This window comes from Homo sapiens, chromosome 12 (assembly GCF_000001405.40).
Source record: "Homo sapiens chromosome 12, GRCh38.p14 Primary Assembly".
NCBI classification, from domain to species: domain Eukaryota; kingdom Metazoa; phylum Chordata; class Mammalia; order Primates; family Hominidae; genus Homo; species Homo sapiens.
This window is the reverse complement of record NC_000012.12, coordinates 96,699,521-96,725,255: the sequence shown is the minus strand read 5'-3', so window position 1 is coordinate 96,725,255 and position 25,735 is coordinate 96,699,521. Positions and strand designations below refer to the sequence as shown.

Sequence of the window (25,735 nt, the reverse complement as noted above, 5' to 3'; positions counted from 1 at the left end):
TTTATAGATTCAATGCCATCCCCATCAAGCTACCAATGACTTTCTTCACAGAATTGGAAAAAATTACTTTAAAGTTCATATGGAACCAAAAAAGAGCCCGCATCGCCAAGTCAATCCTAAGTCAAAAGAACAAAGCTGGAGGCATCACGCTACCTGACTTCAAACTATACTACAAGGCTACAGTAACCAAAACAGCATGGTAGTGGTACCAAAACAGAGATATAGATCAATGGAACAGAACAGAGCCCTCAGAAATAACGCCACATATCTAAAACTATCTGATCTTTGACAAACCTGAGAAAAACAAGCAATGGGGAAAGGATTCCCTATTTAATAAATGGTGCTGGGAAAAATGGCTAGCTATATGGAGAAAGCTGAAACTGGATCCCTTCCTTACACCTTATACAAAAATTAATTCAAGATGGATTAAAGACTTAAACGTTAGACCTAAAACCATAAAAACCCTAGAAGAAAACCTAGGCATTACCATTCAGGAAATAGGCATGGGCAAGGACTTCATGTCTAAAATACCAATAGCAATGGCAACAAAAGCCAAAATTGACAAATGGGATCTAATTAAACTAAAGAGCTTCTGCACAGCAAAAGAAACTACCATCAGAGTGAACAGGCAACCTACAAAATGGAAGAAAATTTTCGCAACCTACTCATCTGACAAAGGGCTAATATCCAGAATCTACAATGAACTCAAACAAATTTACAAGAAAAAAACAAACAACCCCATCAAAAATGGGCAAAGGATATGAACAGACACTTCTCAAAAGAAGACATTTATGCAGCCAAAAGACACCTGAAAAAATGCTCATCATCACTGGCCATCAGAAAAATGCAAATCAAAACCACAATGAGATACCATCTCACACCAGTTAGAATGGCAATCATTAAAAAGTCAGGAAACAACAGGTGCTGGAGAGGATGTGGAGAAATAGGAACACTTTTACACTGTTGGTGGGACTGTAAACTAGTTCAACCATTGTGGAAGTCAGTGTGGCGATTCCTCAGGGATCTAGAACTAGAAATACCATTTGACCCAGCCATCCCATTACTGGGTATATACCCAAAGGACTATAAATCATGCTGCTATAAAGACACATGCACATGTATGTTTATTGCGGCACTATTCACAATAGCAAAGACTTGGAACCAACCCAAATGTCCATCAATGATAGACTGGATTAAGAAACTGGCACATATACACCATGGAATACTATGCAGCCATAAACATGATGAGATCATGTCCTTTGTAGGGACATGGATGAAATTGGAAGTCATCATTCTCAGTAAACTATTGCAAGGACAAAAAACCAAACACCGCATGTTCTCACTCATAGATGGGAACTGAACACTGAGAACACATGGACACAGGAAGGGGAACATCACACTCTGGGGACTGTTGTGGGGTGGGGGGAGGGGGGAGGGATAGCATTAGGAGATATACCTAATGCTAAATGACAAGTTAATGGGTGCAGCACACCAGCATGGCACATGTATACATATGTAACTAACCTGCACACTGTGCACATGTACCCTAAAACTTAAAGTATAATAATAATAATTTAAAAAAAGAAAAAAAAAAGAATCATCTTTATTTGTGGGCTCCAGTTTCTCTCTTCCCATTCTCTCATAAACAACTCTAAACATAATCTTTCCCAAGCATCTTCTAAAGTTACTCCTGTGAAGGTCACCATTGGCCTCCATGCTAAATCCAGGGGTCAACTCTCTATCCTTACCTTACTCAATCTATCAGAAGCTTGTGGCACAGTTGGTCACTCCATTCTCCTCAACCACTTTCTTCACTTGGCTTTCAGGGTTCCATAATCTCTTGGTTTTCTTCTATCTTACTGGTCACTTCTTCTCAGTCCCCTTTCTGGTTCCTCATTTTCTCCCCAGTCTCGTAAAGTTGGAGTACAAAACTCAGGGCTTGATCCTTGGTCCTTTTCTCTCTTCCATCTATTTATACCCCCTAACGGAGCTCATCCAGTATTAAAATTCTGTCTTTACTTTTTTTAGTTGTTATACTGTACTTTTAAATTTGTATTATTCTTATCATTGTATTTTTATTGATGCTTAATAGACATATATACTTCCAGGGTACATAAAATATTTTGATACATTACATAATGTGTAATAATTAAATAGCAGTGATTGGTATATCCATCACCTTACACATTTATCTTTTCTTTATGCTGGGAAGATTTGAATAACACTGTCTATATTCTAAAGACTCTCAGAATACTTGACATCTTCAATTGTACATCTAAGGGCATCTCAAACTACATACATCCAAATTTTAATTCCTGGTGTTTCCCCTAAATAAGCTGCACCCCTACAACCTCCCCATTTCAGTTAATGACCACTTCTTTTTTGACTCCTCTCTTTTTCTCACAACTTACATCCAATATCTGTAAAACAGAATGGCTCTACCTTCAAAATTTACTCAGAATCCAAATACTTCTCATTACCTCCAGTGCTATCACACTGGTAAGAAACACCACCATATTTCTGTTATTATAATAGCCTCCTTAATTCATCTCCTTGCTTTCACACCCTTTTCCTCTTATAATCAATTCTCACACTAGCAGCAAGAGCCAACCCTTTACAATGAAAATCAGATCATGTCACTCCTCTGCTCAAAACTCCACAATGACTCCCCACTTCACTCAAAGTCAGTCTTTACCCTGGCCAAAAGGTCTTATGTAATCTCCTTGTCCACCAGTTACCTCTTTGCCGATCTCCCTTGCAACTCTGCCCCTCACTCACTCCACCCCAGCCACAAGAGGCCTGGAGGTGTCCCTCAAACATGTATCAGGCATGTCTCCATGGCCTGTAACACTTTGTCTATAGATATTTGCATGGATAATTCTCTCATTTAAGTACTTTGTTCAGATGTCACCTCATCAATGAAGCCTGCCCTGACCACCCAAAATGTGGTTCAGATGTCACGACTGATCCCAGATACACACACGTCAAGAGGGTATGAAATGGGGTACTGCTCACATAAAGAGACCTTGCAAGAAGATCAGAGCAGGTTCCCAAACAGGTGGGAAAATGTATGGAGAAAGTAAGGAAAAGAGACTGGCTTGGAGTTTTATGGTGGTTGGTGGGTGGCACTGAGGTAAGAGTTCCTGCACATGGGCCAGGACTTACATGGTTTGAACTTTCCACTAACACCAAAGGAGGGAACAGATGGGCTTTCTTATCTGCTTGCTCAGGTCAGGGGCAGAAAGAGAAGGACAGTGGTCGGGCTTGAAAGCTGTCAGCCATTGAACATCAAAATGGAGTCACACTTATTACAACCACACGATTTTAAAATGGTAACTCGTCCCCCTCCAACCTCTACTCCTTATATTCTCCATAGCACTTATCATTTTTGCCCACACTCTGTAATTTACTTGTGTTTATAGTTTATTGCCAGCATGTTTATTATCTATTAGAATATAGGGCAAGATTTTGCACAATATTGTTATATATTTTGTTTAGACTGTATATATGAGTATTGGGCCACTGATACTTGCCAGGAGCTTAGAACAGTGCCTAGCATATTGAAAGTGCACAAACTTATTTTTTAAACGAATTAATGAATGATAAGAAATGTATGCATTATTAGATGAATCACTATTGAATGTGTCAGAGGACCTCATGATAGAAGTGTTTATCACAAATGGCATGGAGAAACTCTTGAATGTGGATGTCCATATTATTAAATATGAAAAAAGCGCTGTAATATTATTTTTACTACTCTACCTGACTGCTTATATATCTGTGAGCATATGGATACAGAAATTGTATTCTATGCATCTTTATATCTTCACTGCCTAGATCAGAGCCTGGCAGTGAGAGAGTTAACAGATACTGGTTGACTAAATAAATAAATCGATGAACAAACTAAATGAAAGAGCTGACACTAACAATTGCAGCACATTTAAATAATTAGCTACCTACAACAGTTTATTAAACAGTTCAGTGCAATATGATGCAGAAACTTACTTTTTCAAAATAGGTTTGTTTTTAATATTTTAAGTCAATGTTTTAGAAAAAAAGAAAACACTCCATAGCTTTTATTCGTAAAAAGGTTTAGTCTTTTTAAAAAGTAAATTAAATGTATAAAAAAATCAAAGCATTGTTAATTTGTTCATTCTATATATGAAATTAAACAACCCAGCTGTGTGCCTTCATAAAATAATTGCTTTATTGAGAACTGTAATTTTTTTTTTTTTTGAGACAGAGTCTTGCTCTGTCATCCAGGCTGGAGTACAGAGGGGCAATCTCAGCTCACTGCAACCTCTGCCTCCCGGGCTCAAGTGATTCTCCTGCCTTAGCCTCCCGAGTAGCTGGGATTACATGTGCCGCCACAAAGCCTGGTTAATTTTCATATTTTAGTAGAGACAGGGTTTCTTCGTGTTGGCCAGCCTGGTCTCCAACTCCTGGCCTCAAGTGATCTGCCCACCTCAGCCTCCCAAAGTGCTGGGATTACAGGCATGAGCCACCACACCCAGCCAGAGCTATAATTTTAAGTGAAATCATGTATGAAAACTTCCCTGAATAATAAAAAGCAAGCATACTATGGATATAGGAATTTCTAAAACTTACATAAAATTTAAGTCTATTTAATAAACTAGGGTGAAGGAACTCTCTTCAAAGGTATCCCTCCCCTGTGCATGGAGAGACGCACCTGTATGCCGCCCGGTGCCTCTGCAGAGCAACTGCAGCCAGCTGAAGCCGGGCCTCCACCACAATCTCCAGCTCGCCAGCGGAGCACTGAGACAGGGTCTTCTGTTCCACCTCGGACAGAAGGAAGTTTAGCCTGTCCTCAGCTTCCATCAGTAACATCGACTAAGGAAAGGATACCATACATCACGTGAGTTCAGAAATAATACAAATACTGTCTCTTTCTTCTTTAGCAAATATTTTTCATGTACTGAAAAGTAACAATGAATGGAAGACCAAAAAGGAACTTGGTATCTAATTACCAGAGAAGAGAGTTCAGCAAAAAGGAAAAAGGCAACAGAAAACGAAAAGGAAAGTGAAAGCAAGCGTCAGCATGCATGACAGTGACCTTTTCTTGTGTGCACAGCTGGTGCTTACTATTCACAGTAGTTATGTTCTATAAAGTTCTTGCAAACACTGATTACTGGATACTGAGCCATTGCTCCTAGGGGAGACATGGAGAAAAGTACCCGAGAGCCTCTGGTCACAACATTTTCATTAACTGCTCAATACACAGCCTCCTTGTTTAATGTGTGTTTATGGCTAAGGATATATAACAGTATATTTAATATATACTGTTAATTTGCTAACCTTGAACTCACAGCCAATAGCACTCACTTCTGAAGGAAGCTTATCTAACACACATAGCTTCTCCATAAGGGACACCACAGCCCTCTTAACTTAGAAATGCTCCACAGCACTTCAGCACTATGCTGGAGGGTCATTGTAAATATTGACAAAAATTCAAAAAGCATGGTACTAAATAGACCGTGAAAAGGACACTTGTTTACAGTATGAGAGTGGCAACAAAAAGTCAGAGCATCTCCTTGTTCAACTCAGCTGGGAATACGTGCATTGAGCAGCTCAAATTTTTCTGTGCTCTGCGTGTGTTCACGAATAGCCAACAGAGTGCCAAGAGTGTTGATTTTCAGGCTACAAATAAATTTCAGTAGATCTGCAAATTAGCAAACACAGAATCTGTGAATAATGTGGATCAACTGTATTTCAAGTTAAAGTATGGTCACCTAGTTGGTAATGTGAAGATAATGAGATTTTTACAGTAGACAATCAATAGTAAATAGCAGCCTAACATGGCAGAAGATAAAGGGACCAACCAATCTTTCAAGTGACAGGCCACTAAAAATGTATTTGTGCAGAGCAGTGAATATTATATAAATATTAGGGCAATTCAGTATAATGTTTAAGAACATGGATTTTGAATCAAAAAGATGTAGTCCTTCTCCTGGATCTATATTTTATTAGTTGTATGATATTAGTCAAATTCTTAGATGTCTAAGCCTCAGTTTTCTCATGGTTCAGCACAGCACAGTTCAAAATGATTACTACCTACATCATAAAGTTATAAAAATTAAATAATCATGCAAAAGCTGTTGATGCCATTGTCATCACTATTATTGGGAAATGATAAACGGGATGGAATACTCATATCCCACCAAATAATGAATCATGTTTCTTTGTTGTTTTTTTTTTTGAAATGGAGTTTCGCTCTTTTTGCCCAGAATAGAATGCAGTGGCGTGATATTGACTCACTGCAACCTCTGCCTCCTGGGTTCAAGCGATTCTCCTGCCTCAGCCTCCTGAGTAGCTAGAATTACAGGCATGCGCCATCACACCCAGCTAATTTTGTATTTTTAGTAGAGACAGGATTTCTCCATGTTGGTCAGGCTGGTCTTGAACTCCCGACCTCAGGTGATCCGCCCACCTCGGCCTCCCAAAGTGCTGGGATTACAGGTGTGAGCCACCGCGCCCAGCCGAATCATATTTTCTGAAGCACCTTAATCAGGTTGTGAAGTCAAAGCTGGACACCACTGGACATCTACTTTTCTCATGAGGAGTAAACTCCACCTCTGGCTCCAACCCATTCTTACACAAGAAAAGGTAACTGCTCTCACAAGAGCAAGCATAACTCTGAAAGCAGGCCCATCCAGGGCCTAATAGTGGATTTTTGGTAACTAACTTAATGGTTTGAAAACAGTTTCAAACTTACCTTTAGCATGCTAAGAGTGATCTCATCTTTAAGTTTTGTAAGATTATAAAATGAACTTCCATCATCCTTTGAATATATCTCTATAAAGACACAAAATTTTGGAAGGACCAAGGATATCTATGGTTAGTTTAAATATTAATTCTAGGTTTATTTTATTTTATTTTGAGACAGGGTCTGGCTCTGTCACCCAGGCTGGAGCACAGTGGCACAATCTCAGCTCACTGCAACCTTCACCTCCTGGGCTCAAGCCATCTTCTCACCTCAGCCTCCCGAGTAGCTGGGACTACGGGCGCACACCACCATGCCCGGCTAATTTTTGTATTTTCTGTAGAGATGGGGTTTCACTATGTTGCCCAGGCTAGTCTTGAACTCCTGAGCTCAAGTGATCTGCCCACCTCGGCCTCCCAAAGTGCTGGGATTATAGGCATGAGCCACTGCACCCACCCTAATTCTATTAATAGTTTTTAAAACTCATCATTCACAGGAAAACTATCCATAAGTTTAATAATTTTTTAAAAAACACAATGATAATATAGAAACACGGGAATATAGAAACATATTCCTGTATCAAATAGTCCCTAATGTCATATATTAGAAGGCTGAAGCTGATTCTTACAACAAATCAGACAATTCTGAAAGAATTTTTTAGGTATTTAGTGATGTTATTCAAGTTATTGGCTACTGATATAGTTTTTCCTCTTCTGGGATCCCAGGACTCCTGAAAGCCCTCTTCCAGATATTTCTAACATTTCAATAAGATCTCCATGGAAGCATCAGTTCTGCTGATGTGAACAAGCCCCTCAGTCTAAGAGCTGAGCGTGAGACCAGCTGGAAGAGCATAATCCACAATACTCAAATATCTCTTTCAAAATCTCCATCCACGATCCAAAGCCTGCTCTTATTCTGAACAGGGGAGAAGTGAGAGAATTCAGATCACAGTCTTTGCCTGCTTCATTCAACTGGGCTTCTAGACTGTGGGAGAGAAAGATAAACCACAAATCATTTGACTACAAATGACAGAAAAATATATCCACCTGAAGAAATTAAGTTTGTTAAGTACAAAGAAAAATTCTGAAATAACATGGAACTTAATACACCGAACTTCCTCTCCTCTTTCAACAGCAACACTTCCCTACCTGGCTAGTCTCCTAAATTATGAGGGTCTGAATCTAGGGGTCAGCTGAGGATGAGGGAGGGCTAGGGCTCTTGGAAGGCCCAGCAGGAGGATCTGGGACTGGGCTTTTTCACCTAAGGGAGAAAGTAAGAATGACAGAGACAATGATGGAGACAAACCAAATGCCTGAACGTGGTACAAAAGAAGCCTGGAATGCATGTTACCATACAAAAGACCCTAGGAAGAGTTTAACCTAGACATTTTCATGAACCCATGTGTGATAAAATTAACATGGGTCCCACATGAGTGTTCTCCTCTAGAATAAAAAGAAGAGCTAGACAGATAGGCCATCCATAGGCGAAGAGATATAGGAGTCCTGATGCCTTAGGAAGGCTAGTTACCTGCCTGCCACTCTACATCTCACTGACTTCACCTTCTCCATTGCATAGCTGATACCAACAAAACAGGAACCCCAATGGGATGACCAGCAAAAATAACACCATATCTAGGATCTGTGTTTCAGACTAATCATGTTCACTTATATGCATACTCCTCTCCTTTCTGAGCACCTGGCAAGCTATACTTCCTGGCCTCTTTGCAGTTAAATTCGGTCTTATCCAATTACATAAGAATTCCAGACTAAATTCCAGAGTTCCATTTAAGGGCTCATGTGCCACCCTATGGCTTTCTAGGCAAGGTCAGAGCAGAGTGTTTCAGATGGTGTGCCTCCAGGATAGCAGCACTTGGGTACCTGAGTGGCTCTGCAAAACACAGCCCCTTGTCAATCTGAGCAAGAACTAAACCCTTGCTGTGTTAAGCCATGATATTTAAAGACTGATTTGCTATGACAGACCAGCTTAGCCTGACTTCTACAGGGGCTCAGTAGGCAAGAAGAGGAAACTCAAATGGGAAACAGAACTGCTAGGAGCAAGCATGACAATTTGAACCCAAAATAATAAGAACACTTATGGAAGTGCAAGCAGAGTACCAAAAAATGCTTTCTGGAACTAAATGCTTTGTCAAAATGCAGATCCTTTCAATGTTCAGGCAGGTTTCAGGCAGATGTGCTTCCAGCAAAATCCCTGATCTAAAAGAATTAAGAGAAACATCTCCAAGCAAAAAATCAAATTTTCTAAAATAAAAGAAATAGATCTCTTATCCGCATTTATGGAAGCCAGAAGACTAGGATTAACATCTAGAAATACTGAGGAAACGATAGAAAATCTACATATTTAATTCTAAACCAGTAATTATATATGTAAAAAGTTAGTACTAAATAAAGTTATTGAAATTGAATGGACATGCTAAGGGAAAACTAATAAGAATCTAGAATTAAAATCAACTAAAATCAGGAGTTGGATGTGAAGTGAGGTGATGTCACCTGCTGAAGGGAAAAGCACGAGAGAAAAAGGGAAACTGAAAGTTTTTCAAAGTCTTTAATTTGAGTGGAGTAGCCTGGTAAGTGAACTAGCTGCTATGTTATCTACAAGTGATAGTAGAGAATATGGGCCTGTTTGTGAACTCCAGGAAGGGAACATAAAAAGGGCACAAAATATGAAAAAAATGAGAAAATATATTATGTTCTTGGGTGGGAAGACAATAAAAATATATAAATTACATTAAAATTAATACAAGCATCTCAACGAATTCCAATGAAAAAGCCAAAAGTGCCTTTTGTCTTTTGTTATCATAGTTTTCTTGTTTAGAATCAGATTGAATTACCTTGAAGTATGCAGGTAGAATATTCCTGAGAATATATGAGGAAAATAGGAAAAAGTGAAGGGTGAATAGTGATGACCTTAACAGACAAAAGTACTAATATTTTTCCAGATTGTTCTTTCAGGAATCATGAATCCAGCAATACTTCACCCCTTCTAGAACCCATAATCCATTGACAGTACCAGTGTTTCACTGTTCCCTTTCCCTCTCTTCCCCCTGCCATCTCATCCCTCCTTACCCAGTTTTAGTTCCTTAGTCCATCAAACATAATCACTCTTGCAAACACCTTAAATTTCCTTGCCTATCTCTCCTTTATGTCACCCACCTAGTCAATCCCCAAGCCCCTGCAAATCCAATTCTCTGTTGACATCGGCACCCCTGAATTTTAATGTGGCTGGGAAAAAACGATGCTAACTCTTCTCACTTTAAATTCATACCAGAAATACAAAAAGGCTCTGCAAGCTGCCCAGAAGTCCTGCTCCATTTCCCTAGTCCATCTGCCCTCCTATGCTCTAAGACAACTACTTCATCCCTTCTCTTCTCTCCTTAAATCTCCAACACTTTCTCCCTGCTTCTCACTCGGTTGATGTCTTTGTTTCCTATTCCAATGAAGAAACCACAGAAATTAGCAAATAACTTGCAAACATACCCACAATACATCTCTCCATCCATTAGCATGTGAACCTATACACTCTGCCCTTCAACTTGTCATTATAGGTGAATTTTATGTTGCCATGTAGGGCCAAACCCTCCATTTGAGTACTAGTTCCATTCCCATCTTGCCTACTTAAGGGTATCATGTTAGATATCTCCTCACTCCACACCTTGCACCATCATTATTTTCCCTCTTTCTATTTGATGATTCCCATCAAAACAAAAACAGACTGCTACTTTTTCAGTTTTTTTTTTAAACCCTCTTTTGTCCCTTTCAGCAGCCTACCCATTTATCTCCATTCACTCTGATTCCCCTGCACACATTCTGTTTGATTCCACTCCAATAAGGGTTAGTTCAACAAAGTTTATCTTCTAGATTCTTCAATGACATTCCTTTTGTTAAGTCCAACCTCCATCCTCCTTGGCCTTTTGATTCAATTGATCACTCCTTCCTCCTCAAAACACCTTGTTCACTCATCCTTTCTCAGTCTCCTTTGTGGATTCTTCCTCATTTATTTGACCTCTTGCTGATGAACCCAAGCATTTATTCCTTCACCTGTCTCTTCTCCATCTGAACTCATTGCCATGGAGATGACGTGTGGTCTTAGGCCTTTAAATACCATCTATAGACTAATGATTGCGAAACATTTCTTCAGTGTGGACTTCTCTCCTGAGCTCCAGAATCATATCTCAAACTATCTACTCGTTAGTTCCTCTCAGGTGCTTAATAGGCATCCCACACTTAACATGCCTCAAAGTGAACTTCTGATCTTCCTTTCAAATCTTTTTGACTCCACCTTCAAGGTATATCCAGAATCTGGCTACTTCTCACCAACTCCACTGCTACTACTCTTGTTGAAGCCAACGTAAGTTCTAACTTGAATTATTCAATAGCCTTGTAAAAAGAAATATGATTATGGTCTTATATATTCACCCTGTTCGTTCCCCTAACCCCATAGCCTAACCTAGTCTCAATACAGAAACCAGAGTTAGGCTTTAGAAACTTTTAATTCTTCCTCTTAAAATTTCTCCAGTGGTATTCCAACTCACTCAGAATAAAAGCCAAATATTTTATTATGACTTTCAAATCCTTTCATAATCACTCTGTTATCTCCCTGACAGCCTCTCCTGGAACTTTCACCTTTGTTCACTGGGCTCCAGCTGTTCCTCAAGCATGCCAGGCACACGCCCATCTCAGGGTCTCGGTATTTGTTCCCTTTATCTAGAATACTCTTCCTCAGAAACTCACGTCTCATTCCCTCTCCTCTTTTAGACCTGTGCTCAAGTATCATCTGTTTATTAAGACTCTTCCTGATAACCCTATTTTAAATCACACCCCACTCCTGCACTCCCTAACCCCCTTTCCTGCTTTCCAAAGCACTTGTTACCATGTAACCCACAATGCCTTTATTCATTTAATTTATGTATTTTTCTACCATAACAAGTTTTCAGAGAGTATTTTTTGTGTTTATTTTCACTGTTATATTCTCAATTCTCAAACAACATAGGAGGTAATAAATAGTTTTCAGTTATAAAATCAAATTAACTATTTTATTAACACAGGAAGCCAGGAAAATCAGTAGTCCAAAATAGAGAATCAAGAATCATACCCTATTTCACTTAACATAATGTCCTCCAGTTCTATCCATGTTGCTACAAATGACAGGAGTTCATTCTTTTTTATGGCTGAATAATATTTCATCGTGTATATATATCATATTTCCTTTATCCATTCATCCACTGCTGGACACTTAGGTTGATTCCATATCTTGGCTATTGTTAGCAGTGCTGCAATAAACATGGCAGTGCTGGTATCCCTTTGATAAACTGATTTTCTTTTCTTTTGGATATACAGAAAAGATTTCTGGATAATACAGTAGCTCTACTTTCAGTTTTTTGAGGAATGACCATACTGTTTTCAATAGTTGTTGTACTAATTTACATTCCCACCAACAGTATATGAGCATTTTCCTTTCTCCACATCCTCACCAGCATCTGCTGTTTTCTGTCTTTTTGGTAAAAGCCATTTTAACTGGGGTGTGATTATATCTCATTGTGGTTTTGATTTGCATTTTCCTGATTATTAGTGATGTTAAGTATTTTCTCATATGCTTTTTGGCCATTTATATGTCTTCTTTTGATAAATATCTATCCAGGTCTTTTGCCTACTTTTTATTTTAATTACTTGTGTTTCTTTTGCTATTGGGTTATTTGAGTTAATTATATATTAAGTGAAATAAGCCAGGCACAGAAAGAAAAACATTGCCTGTTCTCACTCATATGTGAGAGCTAAGAAAAGAATTGTTTTCATGGAGGTAGAGAGAACGGTGGTTACTAGAGGCTGGGAAGGGGAGATGGGAAGAAGGGATGAAGAGAAATTCATTAATGGGTACAAACATAAAATTAGATAGAAGAAATAAATTCTGGTGTTTGATAGCACAGTAGGGTGATTACTGTTAACAAGAATATATAGTATATTCCAAAACAGAAGAGAAGATTCAGAATGTTCCCAACACAAAGAAATGACAAGTGTTTGAGGTAATGGATATCCCAATTACCCTGATTTGATCATTACACATTTTATGTGTATATAAAAAAACATATACCCCACATACATGTACAACTATTACATATTAAATTTAAAGCTGTAAAATGAAAAAAGAATCATAACCTGGTACATATGAGAATTTATTATATAATGAATTTCTTATTTCAGTGAGGAAATGATAGATTTTTTAAATAAATGATAATGACACACTAGCTATTCATCTAAACTTACAAAGGATATAACATCTCAGGCAAAAGAGACATCCAAAGTCTGAAACGCAGTAAGTAATGGTGAGCAAAGGAAACAGCAAATAAGTAGGTAAAGCTAAACAACCATTGGATGGAAAAAAAATAGTATAATGTATAAATATCAAACTAACAAAAAAATAAAACTAAAACCTAAAGCTATCAAATCATAAAAGTAGGAAAGGGTGATCAGAACAAAATGATCTATGAAGAGGGTAGAGATACTAATTAACTTTAAATTTTAAGTTAAATATGACACATCAATTTCATTCCTAGATATATAGAAGCTCTTACTCATAAGCACTCAGAGACATGTATAATAATGTTTACAGAAAACAGTCTAAATGTCTATCACCAGTACATGAAGAAATAAAGTGAAAATAAAGGAACCACAGCTACAAACATAAATACAGATAAATCTCAAAAACACATTGTTCAGGAGATTAACTTCTGGCATCCCAATGTGAAGAGCTCTATGAACCCACTTTACCATTAAATTAGTAAAAATTATTGGTTTTTTAATGCTTAAAGTCTCTGGAAATGATTCTAAGGTCATACAGCAAATGATTAAACATCTAGTCAAGAACACTTACTAAAATGTGGTGAGAACAGTACTGCAAGTCTGTGGTATTTGGAGAAAGATGACTACTTCTCTTCCCTCTGCCTGTTCAGTGAGATGGAAACTTCACTTCAAACTGGCACAACTAAGCAGACAGGGTTCCCTTGTTCCACCCAGCCTCACCACCTTGTGGGACAGAGTCTCTAGCTTAAGCAAAGTAACACTGAGAACACAGGAGCCCCTCTAAGTCTTTTTCCCAACTCATAAGTGTAGTGAACAAAGAAAATAATAAAGATTGAAATAGATAATAATAAAACAGAGAACAGAAGAAAAAGTAGAAGAAATCAACAAAATTGAAAAACCTATAGGTAGACTGAGAAAGAAAAAGGGAGAAGACTCAAATTAATAGAACTGGAAATGAAAGAGGAAACATTACTACTAACCTTACAGAATTTAAAAAAAGAATTATAAAGGAATACTATGAAAAAATTGTATGCCAATAAATTAAATAACACAGATGAAATGGATGAATTCCTAGAAAGACACAAACTACCAAAACTGAGTCAAGAAATAGATAATTTTAAGAGAACTACAAGTAAAGAGATTGAATTGCTCATCAAAATGCTATCCACAAATATAAGTTCAAGCTCAGATGTCTTCACTGTTGAATTCTACCAAACATTTAAAGAAGAGTTAATATCAATTCTTCACAAACTCTTCTAAAATATAAAAGAGGAGGGAACACTTCCCAACTCATTCTATGAGGCTATATTAATTATGCCTTTACATTTTCTGTATGTCTCAAGACCAGCCTGGCCAACATGATAAAACCCCGTCTCTACTAAAAATACAAAAACTTAGCTGGGCATGGTGGCAGGAACCTGTAATCCCAGTTACCCAGGAGACTGAGGCAGGAGAATTGCTTGAACTTGGGAGGCGGAGGTTGCAGTAAGCCTAGATGACACCATTGCACTCCAGCCTGGGTGACAAGAGCAAAACTCCATCTCAAAAAAAAAAAAATTCTGTATGTCTGATGTAGAAATGATAACATTTGGGGCCTTGCTGACCTCCCAGTTCCTAGAGATGGTAAAAGACTCACCTGTGAGTACACCTTTCATGTGCAAACTAAAGAGCCCATGCCCCCACCACCTCCTTTATTAGGCTCTTACCCCAGGCCACCCTTCCCCTGCCCTAATCACCCCAAGACCAGTTATCAGATATCTAGAGACAGCCCCTATGCCCCCAGGGCTCACTGAAATTATTCAAACTAAAATTATTCAAATACTAAGCCTGTTCACTCTGCTTTACCCATCCATTTGCATAGCAAACACAGTAAAGGTTCTTGCTCATGTTTCCCCTGCACTGCCCTCTGCCTCCTGAGACGCAGCCAAGCTCTCCTGTGTTCCCTTCTCCCACAGTGGTGTGGCGCACCCTTCCTCTTGGAAACTGTAACTATTTTTTCAGTAGCAGTCATCTGATCTGTTGGTCTCACCATACCTGAATAATAAAACCTACATTTTAAAATAGAGGCCCCAGAATTACTCTGATATCAAAACTAGACAAAGACACTACAAGAAAACTGCAGACCAATATCTCTTATGAGTATGAATGCAATCATTTTCAACAAAATGCTAGCAAACAGAATCTAACAAGTAAAAAGAATTATTGGCCACATGCAGTGGCTCACATCTGTAATCCCAGCACTTTGGGAGGCAGAGGCAGGCAGATCACTTGAGATCAGGAGTTCAAGCCTGGCCAACATGGTGAAACCCTATCTCTACGAAAACCACAAAAAATTAGCTGGGCGTGGTGGCAGGCGCCTATTGTCCCAATTACTTGGGAGGCTGAGGCAGGAGAATCACTTGAACCCAGAAGCAGAGGTTGCAATGAGCTGAGCTTGCACCACTGTGCTCCAGCCTGGGCAACAGAGTAAGACTCCATCTCGAAAACAATAATAATAATAATAATAATAATAATAATAAACCATGATCAAGTGGGACTTATCCCAAGAATGTAAGGTTGGTTAAACGACCAAAAATCAGTTAATGTAACATACCATATCAATAGAATAAAAAGCAAGGACCACATAATCATCCCAATAGATGCAGATAGAGCATTGAATAGAATTCAACACCCTTTCAATGATAAAAATAACTTGACAAACTAAGAATAGAAGAGAAATTGCTCAACCTGATAAAGCATATCTATGAAAAACCCACAGTTAACATCATACTGAATGGTAAAAATCACCTATTTTTAAGGCAACATCTAATACAATTGAAAATTTCCCTGTGGCCCATAAATCCCATCCATGGGTTATATACCCCATAGAAAGATATACTATGTCATCTGGGTATGTTGCACTGTGGCAATGTTCCTTGGAAATGAAGTGCATGTGCACGAGTGGAGGTACACATTTCTTCTTATTCAATCATTCCTCTATTGGTGCACATGCACTTTGTTGCCAAGGAACATTCATGGGGGATGATCATGGCCTAGAATACTATACAGTCAATATAATGGACCAAAGCAAAGCAGTAGACTTGGAGTGATTTCAGTGAAGTTTTTCTGCATGGGAAATACCAGATGCAGAAAAGTGTGAATATACCATTTTGTAAATAAATGATAAATCCTATCCTATCATGTATGTGTATACATATGATAGTGTATTATATATAAAGCATATGAATATGGATATATATATAAACACGTATGTGTATGCATACACCTAGACATAAGTACATATGTGTGTCATTATATAAGCATAGAGAAAACTGTGGAAGAATATATACTGTATCATTTATATAGATTAGTGGGGGCTGGGAGAACAGTTAGGGAAAGGGAGGAGAAAGAGAAATAAGCAAAAAATAAAACAATTACCTTCCAAGTTTGGTAGGTTTGGTTTGCTCTTGTTGGTAATTACTGTCTTAAATTTATTTTCTGGGACACAATTTATTGTCGCAGCCACACTTAGGAAAAAGTATGCTTTAACAAAATTAAACTTATTTAAGAGATGTGGTTGGCCAATTGTAACCAGAACTGCAGGCAAGCCTTTATTTCTTAATTCATCAATTGCCTAAAAAATGGAAAAAAGGAAAAAGAGCAAATTAGAAAAATACTTTTTCAGATATTATTATATTCATTCTTTTGCAGTTCACATTTGGTGTTGGATGAAGGGATATAGGGCTGGGCATGGGGTATTGTAAATGGGAGGTCTACTGAGAGAGACATGTAACATCGGAACCATCTCAACAGTTCAACAATGCTTCTGCTGTTCCCCACCAATTTCTAACCTGTGCCTCATGAGGCCAGCTCTGCCATCGTGGCAGAGTAAACCTGGTGCTCAGAGTGAAGGATGGGATTCTTTATCAAAATAGACAAACTGAAAGCTCATTAGACACACACATCGGCTACTCTGCTTTAGTGTAAGTAAATCAGAGATACTATGACAGGAACAGGAAAAGATGGGCAGACAAGCAATCTCCCTACCCAGCTTAGAGTCCACCGTCAATCATTAGAACCCCTTCCCATATACACCCTCAACTCCCTGGGTCCTCACCTATCCAAACACACTTCCTTAGCAAAATCACAGCTCTAACTCTGAAATCCAACTCTGAGCCCTCTTATGGTCTGCATCCCTGGGGTGGAAAACGGCTGGAGAAAATCACACAATCACACAAATTGTCCCATTTTAAGTACCCAACCAAACCTCAATGCTGCCTGGTAATATTCCAATATTTTGCCAGTCCATTCACCCTCTCTCTCTTTCTTAGACAACCATTTTGCGCCCTTCTCTCCTCTAAATTCTAACCCTTCCTTCCCTGGTTTCCTCCCAGCCAATGACCTTGCTTCCTCCACTTCACTAGGAAAACTGAAGCAGTCAGAGTAGAGCAAACTCCTCCATCTGTTTCATCCACCTGAGCATCTGCCCCCAACAGCTCTACCTTCCTTTCTGCTACCTAAGGCTGGCATTACCACTTAGGCCTTCACTCCTTTCTCCAATGGGCTACTCAGCCATTCTCTCCTATATCATAAATATGCTAATCTCTGTAGAAACATTCCTATCGGCACACAGCCATGCTTCATCTCCTCCATTTTAATAACCCAAAAACTCTCTATATCCCAACTTCCTTCTCCAGCCACTACCCCATTCTTTCCTCCCCTTCACAGCAACACTCTGAAGAGTTCCAGTTTCTCTCCTTTCATTTGCTCCTAAACCCACTCCATCCCTACGTCTTAACCCTCTGGTCAAATCCACTGATGGCCTACACTTGGCTAAATCTAATGGTCAATTATCAGTCTTTGAATACCATGTAACTTCTGACCTGATGCCATTATTTTATATGCCAATTAAGCTGTCACATGCCATGAACTGTAAAATGCATTCTGATTTTAGAGACATTAAATGTGAAAAAAAAAATTCAAGTTAAAGACTCAGTGTATTATTGTATTTGATTCATCATCAAAATTTGATACTACTGATCACCCACTCTTTCCAAACACGCTTTCTCCTCTTGGCTTTCAGGCCACCACACTCCCTTAGTTTCCTTCCTATCCTACTGGCCTCTCCTTTTCTGTCTTCTTTGCTGGTTCTTCTTCTCCTATACCTCTTAATATTGGACTGTCCTGGAACTCAGTGCTCTTCCTTCTCCTCACTCCCTCCCCTTAGGTGATCTTAATCAGGCTCATGGTTTTAATTTCATCTGAATGCTGATGAAATCACAACTTTTTCGCTGTAGCTCCAACCTCTCTTCTGAACTCCAAATTCACAGAATCAACTTCTGACTCAATTCCTCCACTTGGATGTCTAACAGATATCTCAAACTCAACATCTCTAAACTCAGTATCTCCAGCACACACACACGTGCGCACACAAACACACACACACACACACATACACACACAATGTAAGTGCTTTGAGGTTTGGGAATTTGTATTATGGTTGACTGATGTATTTGATTGACAGCATCAGAACAGTACCTGGCACATGGTGGGCTCAACAGATTAGGAAAAGTAATCCCTTTATGGCATAAATCAGTCAGGACACACTTCTGCTCAAAACTCTCCAGTGGCTCTTCATTTTGCTCAGATAACAGCCTAGTTACAATGGCCCTACAACCCCTTCTCAATTTGACCTCTCTGACCTTATCTCCTACTGCTCCCATCATTCACAGAGCTCTAGCCACACTGGCTTGGATGTCCCTCGCCAAGCTAGGCAATCTTGTCTCAGGGCCTTTTCACTTACCTTTCCCTCTTTTTAGATTGTTCCTTCTCCAGATTTCATATGACTTGCACCTTTAGCTGTTTCAGGTCTATTTACAAAAGCCACTTCAGTGAAGACTAACCTGATTACCCCATTTAAAATTACCATCTCCAACCTAGCCCCATGCTCCCAATTCCCTTTATGCACAGCTGCATTTATTTTCTCCCACAGCATGGTTCTCCGTCTAATGCACTATATAATTTACATATTTATAATATATTTACTTATATATCATGCTTTATTACTAGTCTTGCCCATTAAAATACAAGCTCCATGAGAGCTTGGAGTTTTTCTGTATTGTTGATTGACTAATGTTGATTGACAGCATCAGAACTAATGCTGATTGGCAGCCTATTGCCTTGCACACAATAGGCTCTTGATTTTGTTGTTGAATTAATACATAAGGCAGATGTTGGGGCTATCTATTCTAGAAAAAAAAAAGAGAAACTATTTGCCTTACGTAAACAAAAAAAATTCCATTGTTTGGAAGAGCTTGAAGCATGAAACTTCAGATTGGTTGAGAGAAGCTTTCTCTTGTCTTTTCTCTCTACAGCAAACAGTGATTTAATGAGCCTTGACAATTACACACAAACACTTGAGGATCAAAAGAAGATTAATTAGTAATACTATTTAACACTCCCTTCTTTCCCTTTATGCAAAAAAACATAAAGTATAATCTGAAGAGTCTTAAGCAGACCAACGGTACTGTTTTAACTAACTAGCTAATAGAAACTGAGTTTCCATTATACTGTTAGTCTCTTTTTGAATAAAAAGAAATCATCAGACAGACATTCTTTTTATACCAAAAACCACTCCCTAAGGAAGTGTTTTAGGATGCTCTAGCATTTAAGATAGGAAAGACAGAAATATTCTTAGACACCCCAAGGTCTTGGAACACTAAAATGAAATAAGAATATGTATTTCTATCTTCCTAATACCAGTTATTTCATTTCAGGCAAATTGCTTATAAATTAAAACAAATTTTTAGGAAAAAAAAAACAATGAATCATCTGAAGGATAATTAAAAGTGAACTTTGTGGAATAAAATGCACAATAATAGAAAAGTAATAAGATTACATTTAATAAAAGTTAGATATAGTCCTATTAAAATTATGGAAGACAAAAATAAAGCAATTTTGAGAAAATATCTCTCAAAATTATTTAATTAAAAATAAATACCTTACTTAATGCTGTTTCCTAGCACTTAAAAAAATAAAAACCATGTGTATATATCTGCATTAACTGTCGTCTGGTTCTATGAACTCCTTCCCCATTCATAGCCCCCTTTAACAATGGTTGTGCCACAACTCTTCTGCTCTAACACTTTCTAGGAGAGATAGACTGCCAATACGCCTAAGTTTTTTAAAATTATTATTTCAAGATATTCAAATATTACTAGGTCATCAAGTGCTTAAGTCCCAATCATTCCATTAGTGACAGGAACAAATGTATTTAGATGGGCAGTAGAATCCTCTTTTTGTGAAAGATACTGGGAAAAAAAAAGAAAAGAATATTACACAGCAGATTTTCAGAATCAAAGACTGTATCAACCAAATAGATTAGAATGACTCAAAAATTATCCACACTTAGGAAAACCATGTTTATAAAATATTATTATCCTTACCTGTATATTTTCTTTACTGGTAAGAAGTTTTCCTGAGTCAAATGATTGAAAGATCTGTCAAAATACAAAATAGTAACAGCAAGAACAAGATTACTTGAGTATTCTTTTCAATAAAACATTTAATGTGTTCTAAAATTATTTTAATTATCATTTTTATTGGAAAAGTAATTTATGCTCTAGTCAGAAAAGATAAGTATTGTATAAAGTAAAAATCATACATAAGTCAACTTCTTTTAAGAATTACAATGTTAATATTTGATGTTTTTCCTACTAACTTCTTTTTGATGTATTTTAAATATATATATATATATATATATATATATATATATATATATATATATATACACACATACATTTTTTTTTTTTTTTTTAGACCGAGTCTCGCTCTGTCGCCCAGGCTGGAGTGCAGTGGCGCCATCTCAGCTCACTGCAAGCTCCACCTCCCGGGTTCACACCATTCTCCTGCCTCAGCCTCCCAAGTAGCTGGGACTACAGGTGCCCGCCACCACGTCCAGCTAAATTTTTGTATTTTTAGTAGACACGGGGTTTCACCGTGTTAGCCAGGATGGTCTTGATATCCTGACCTCGTGATCTGCCCGCCTCAGCCTCCCAAAGTGCTGGGATTATAGGCGTGAGCCACTGCACCTGGCCGATGTATTTTAAATTTTTAAAAATAGATTTCTATTCCATGTTCACTAAACATTACATCATAATTTTCTTCCCATATCATTATTTGTAAACTTCAGTCTAATGTGTAGGTGATACTTTATCCTATGAATGTAGCCTAATAACCTCTTTCCTATTGCTGGATATCTGAGGGAGCCACTTCCCCATCATTATCCCATCATTCAGCCCTAGTTTAAATAACACTGATGACTATTTTGTTTATATTTCTGATTATTACCTTAGGATAGATTCCTGGAAGCAGAATTTCTGGGTCAAAAGATATGAATATACTGAGAAAATTGAAAGAGTCTGGCTCAATTTACACTCCCACCCACATTGTATGAAAATGTCAGAATTATTGCACTTTTAACAACAGTCAGTATTATCACTTAAAAAAATCGTTACCAGTTTGAGATAAAATTGTATTGCTATCAGAATAAATATTTTTGGTTTTTTTTTCCTTTTTGGTGTATTACTTGTCATTATATTTGGCTCTAAATATAATGTTGCATTAGGAAACATTTAGTTTATTTGCCACAGGAGACTGATGTATCTAGTAGGATGCATCTCTCTTGGTATAGAAGGCCCTTTTTAAAAGATTCCCATTGGTAGAATCCAACAGCGATGTCCCTTTGCCCCTCCCTCATCCCCCTTGGTCACCAGGAAGTCACCAGCAGCTTCCATGGACAGGTTGCTCACATGTAGATGGTGTCCTACTCAAGTACCTGTAGCTCTTTGCCTGGCCATAAGAATGTTCAGGAGAGGCTAGAAGTGCAGAGAATAAACCTTACCAAAGAAGAACAGAAGTGTTCTACCCAGTCTCTCTGAGAGCCCCAGTTACCCATATCGGTGACCTTCTCGTTCACACTCTCTGGATTGGTTTTCCCCTATCTAGCTTTCCTGCTAGCTCATCTTACTTCCTAGAATCACTTCCCAAGGACACTATTGTTCCCAAATCCTAGTCTCAGGATCTGCTTTTAAGGGAACCTCCCAAAACGATATATCACAGATAGCTTTTATTGAAAAAGTATTGGTGTTTTAAAAATTTTTCCCTTCTTTGAAGATATTCTTTATTACCCATAATACATTGAAAAGTGAGTAACTGAATCCAAGGGGAAATTCTTGGTGGTATACATTAAAGAGAGTTTAATAATGGGACTTTAGATTTGATGATAAGAGCAGAATACCAATATGAGTATAATGTTAAAATACAGAATTTTTTTAAAGGCCTGTGAAAAGTTCAATAGTAATCTGTAGGACTTTTTCAGTTACTTCTTTTACAAGTGAAACTTAATTCATTAATCCCTTCTTTAAATAACTAGCCTGCAGCTTAATAACATTGGCACCTATTTTAATTATAAATCCTGAACACACTTCCTCTTTTAATTACACTTTTGAAATTCCCAACTGAAGCTCGAAAGCTGCAAATTAACTTTGAGAATACAAAATCTGAAATCAGAATCTACTGGGAGATAGATTCACCCATACATTTATCTTATGAAAACTAGTTGATAAAAATGAAGTTTGGAATCTACTTGTAAAAATTAGCTTCTGAACTTTTGTTTTTATTTATTTCAGTGAAGGCAGTGACCATTGAAAACTCTCTCTTGTTTCTCATCCTACCCAACTGGTTTCTCTTTCCTTCTCATCCTCCTGGACTCTAAATGTGAGTGACCCTAATGTCTAGTCCTCTGACTTCTGCTTTTCTCTATCTGCCTCATCCCCAGCTGAATTCATCTAGTTCCGTGATTTTAAATCTCTCTTCCAGCATTCCCAAATGTGTCCCTGCAACCCCAAACTCTCCCCTGAATTCCAGACCCTATATGATCTGCACCTAACTATGCTGCATTTCCACCTGGATGTCTACTGGGACTCTCATACTTAACATGTCTCATACTTAACATGCTCCTATCTGGAGCAGTATTCCCCATCTCAGTACACGAAAAAATCTTCCTACCAGTTGCTCAGGTTGAACACTCTGTAGTCATCCTTGCCTCCTTTCTCTTACATCCTGTATCCAAACGATTATCAGCAAATGCAGCTGGCTGTACCTTCACAACACACCCAGAACCGGACTGCTGTTCACTCCCTTCGGCACAATCATCTCAATCACTATTATGCCCCACCCAGATTATCTGCAACAGCCTCCTAACTGGTGTCCCAATGTACACCCCTGCCCACCCACAGCCTCTTCCCCAATAGTAAGCAGTGTCCTTTCATATTTAATTCCTATCACGTCACTTCTCTGCTCAAAACTGCGCAGTTTCCCATCTTATTTAGAGAAAATTCCAGTCCTTATCAAGCCCTATGAGGTCTTACATGATCTGACTCCTAGGTCCCTCCTCCTCCTCCTCCTCCTCATTGCAGCCTCACTTTGCCTACTTGGTTTTCCTCAACCACATCTTGCAAGCATCCCTTTTAGAACCTTTGCCCTTGCAGTTCCTCCTACTTGGAAGGTTGGTCCCTCAGATCTTTCCATGGCTCACTTCCCTCAAAACTTGCTTATTATAGAGATTCTCCAAACCACTTTGAATAAAACAGCACTCCACTGCCCTGGTCACTCTCCATCCCCTCAACTCTGCTTGACTGTCCTTGACAGCTGTGTATATACCTGACATATACTTATGTGCTTAATGTATTTGGTGTTTGTCTTCCTCACTGGACTGTAAGCTCCAGGAAAGCAGGAGCCCCCCTGCTGTCTTTCTACTGCTCTATCTCCATGCCTGGAATGGCATCTGTATTCAGTAAGCACTCAAAAAATATTTTTTTAACTAATTAAAGTGTAATTAACTGAGGAGCAAGCAAGAAAATATTGCTAATTTAATCCAGGTAAGATGATGCTTAAATTTATGCCACAGAAAATGAGCAAAACAGTCAATCAACTGACTCCAATTTCTCTCTCTTTCCCCTCTCTATGTGTATCTCTCTATCCATCTACCTATCAATCTCACACAGATATATGCATATATATGGATGTATATACATACATACTCATGCACATACATGTATCCAATTGCCTAACAAACATCCCTCTTGGGATGTTCTGTGGATAGCCTCATCCCCTATTACAATAAATTATAATGCTGTAGCAGTCATATGGAGTAATAAGCAGGTACATTTTAGGGGAATACTCTGAAGTAATGATCATATTATATGCAAATATAATGTCAGCTTATGCTAGTGGTTTTCAAGACTTATAGCTCATTCTCCAGGTTGCTTTAGGTCCTCCAAATTTGAATCCAACCAGCTGGTATTGTGCCTATCAGTCTCACTCCTCACACACACACTCTCTCCCAGGCAAACTGACTTGCTACCTTCTCCCATTTCCTTTATTGCTGGTCTAGGAGGGTCCAAGCATCTGCCTGAAGCATGATCACCCAGTGATTCCCAGACCACCATGAAGACTAAAAGAGAGGAAAATAATAGCTCCCTCTGATTTAATTTATGCTTTAAACGTCAACTCCAGTATTCATTTTCAAGGATGCTTCAATTATCCAGTTTATAAATACAAATTAAACAAGCCAGGTAAAAACTATCTCCTAAAATCAAAAAAGGTTAGACAATATGGAGGAATGTTCTCTCCTCACAGAAATCAGAAGAAATTTGAACACATTCTTAAAACTTTGGTATAAAGTATGAAAATCAAAGAGATGCAAATAAGACATAAGGAAAGACTATTTTGATTTAAAATCTTAACCAGAAATTATAATGTTAGACTCAAAAAACTAAGCAGTAGTGGCTGATAAATGTGCCTAGTGAGACTGCCCATGGTAACTAACAAAAAGCAACATGCAGCATCCCTGAGCCAGAATTCGATTGCAAAAACTACTCCAAAACCATGCTCCCTCCCCCATGACACTCTTCCAACCCAGACAAATGAAACCTCATAAAATCCTGATGTTAGTTGTAACCAGGCTTAACAAAGAGGGCTAAAATACCAGAGATTGTAAATACACTTTCGTGGGAATGTTCCTTACATTTTAGGAATGTATCCCTCATAGGTAAAGAAATTGCTTTGAATCAAATTGTCAGGTTACCTTCATTTTTCCAGTGGCTTTATAGCCTGCAGGTATTGGACAAGGCATGTTTTTTCCATAGAAAATTTGGGATATCTCATAAAAGGCTTCAGAAAAGAATCTCAAATCTATAAGGACTTCTATCTGTAAAGGAAAGGAAATAATGAGGTACTTAATTAAACAATTTGTTTTACTTAGAAAACAAAAGTATAGAGAAAATCGTCAACTTTCTGAGATCCAAAGTTTCTGCTTAATGTTGGTAATGCATTATGAATTAATGTTTACTAGACACAGTGGAGAGAGATGCGTGTGTCTATGTGTATGCCCATACACATGTGCAATGGACCAAGAAGCTAACAACAGCAGGCGGCTGTTCAAAACAATGGACATTTATCAGACGCTGCTTACTTCATCAGAGGCAAACACATTAATATTTTTATGATAGCTGTATAAAAGTTTTTTTAATGATTTTTTTTGTTCCCATTACTAACTATAGCTCAAAAGAAAAACAAAACAAAAACACTCCTAATGTTCTCCAGCCCAACGAGGCAAGTCAAACTGGGAGACTAACTCCACAATGTATCAACATAGAGA

At 38.2% G+C, this 25,735-nt stretch overlaps 1 protein-coding gene across 2 annotated transcripts in view, besides 2 other annotated features; it reads right to left on the bottom strand.

The window, feature by feature from the left end:
• Positions 1-25,735, bottom strand: part of CFAP54 (cilia and flagella associated protein 54) — a 385,979-nt gene that overhangs the window by 150,300 nt on the left and 209,944 nt on the right. For both annotated transcript variants that reach the window (NM_001367885.1, NM_001306084.2), the window contains 5 exons: positions 25,163-25,285; positions 20,460-20,513; positions 16,453-16,648; positions 6,734-6,813; positions 4,691-4,851 (listed from right to left, as the gene is read on the bottom strand). In NM_001367885.1, the coding sequence (NP_001354814.1) occupies positions 4,691-4,851; positions 6,734-6,813; positions 16,453-16,648; positions 20,460-20,513; positions 25,163-25,285 (614 nt within the window). The remainder of the gene's footprint in view (positions 1-4,690; positions 4,852-6,733; positions 6,814-16,452; positions 16,649-20,459; positions 20,514-25,162; positions 25,286-25,735) is intronic.
• Positions 4,811-4,920: an enhancer, noted in NCBI's record as "active region_6835". NCBI's record gives its function as "activates an Ori minimal core promoter by ATAC-STARR-seq in GM12878 lymphoblastoid cells {active_cell/tissue: GM12878}" and the evidence as "EXISTENCE:reporter gene assay evidence [ECO:0000049][PMID:35858748]".
• Positions 4,941-5,120: an enhancer, noted in NCBI's record as "active region_6834". NCBI's record gives its function as "activates an Ori minimal core promoter by ATAC-STARR-seq in GM12878 lymphoblastoid cells {active_cell/tissue: GM12878}" and the evidence as "EXISTENCE:reporter gene assay evidence [ECO:0000049][PMID:35858748]".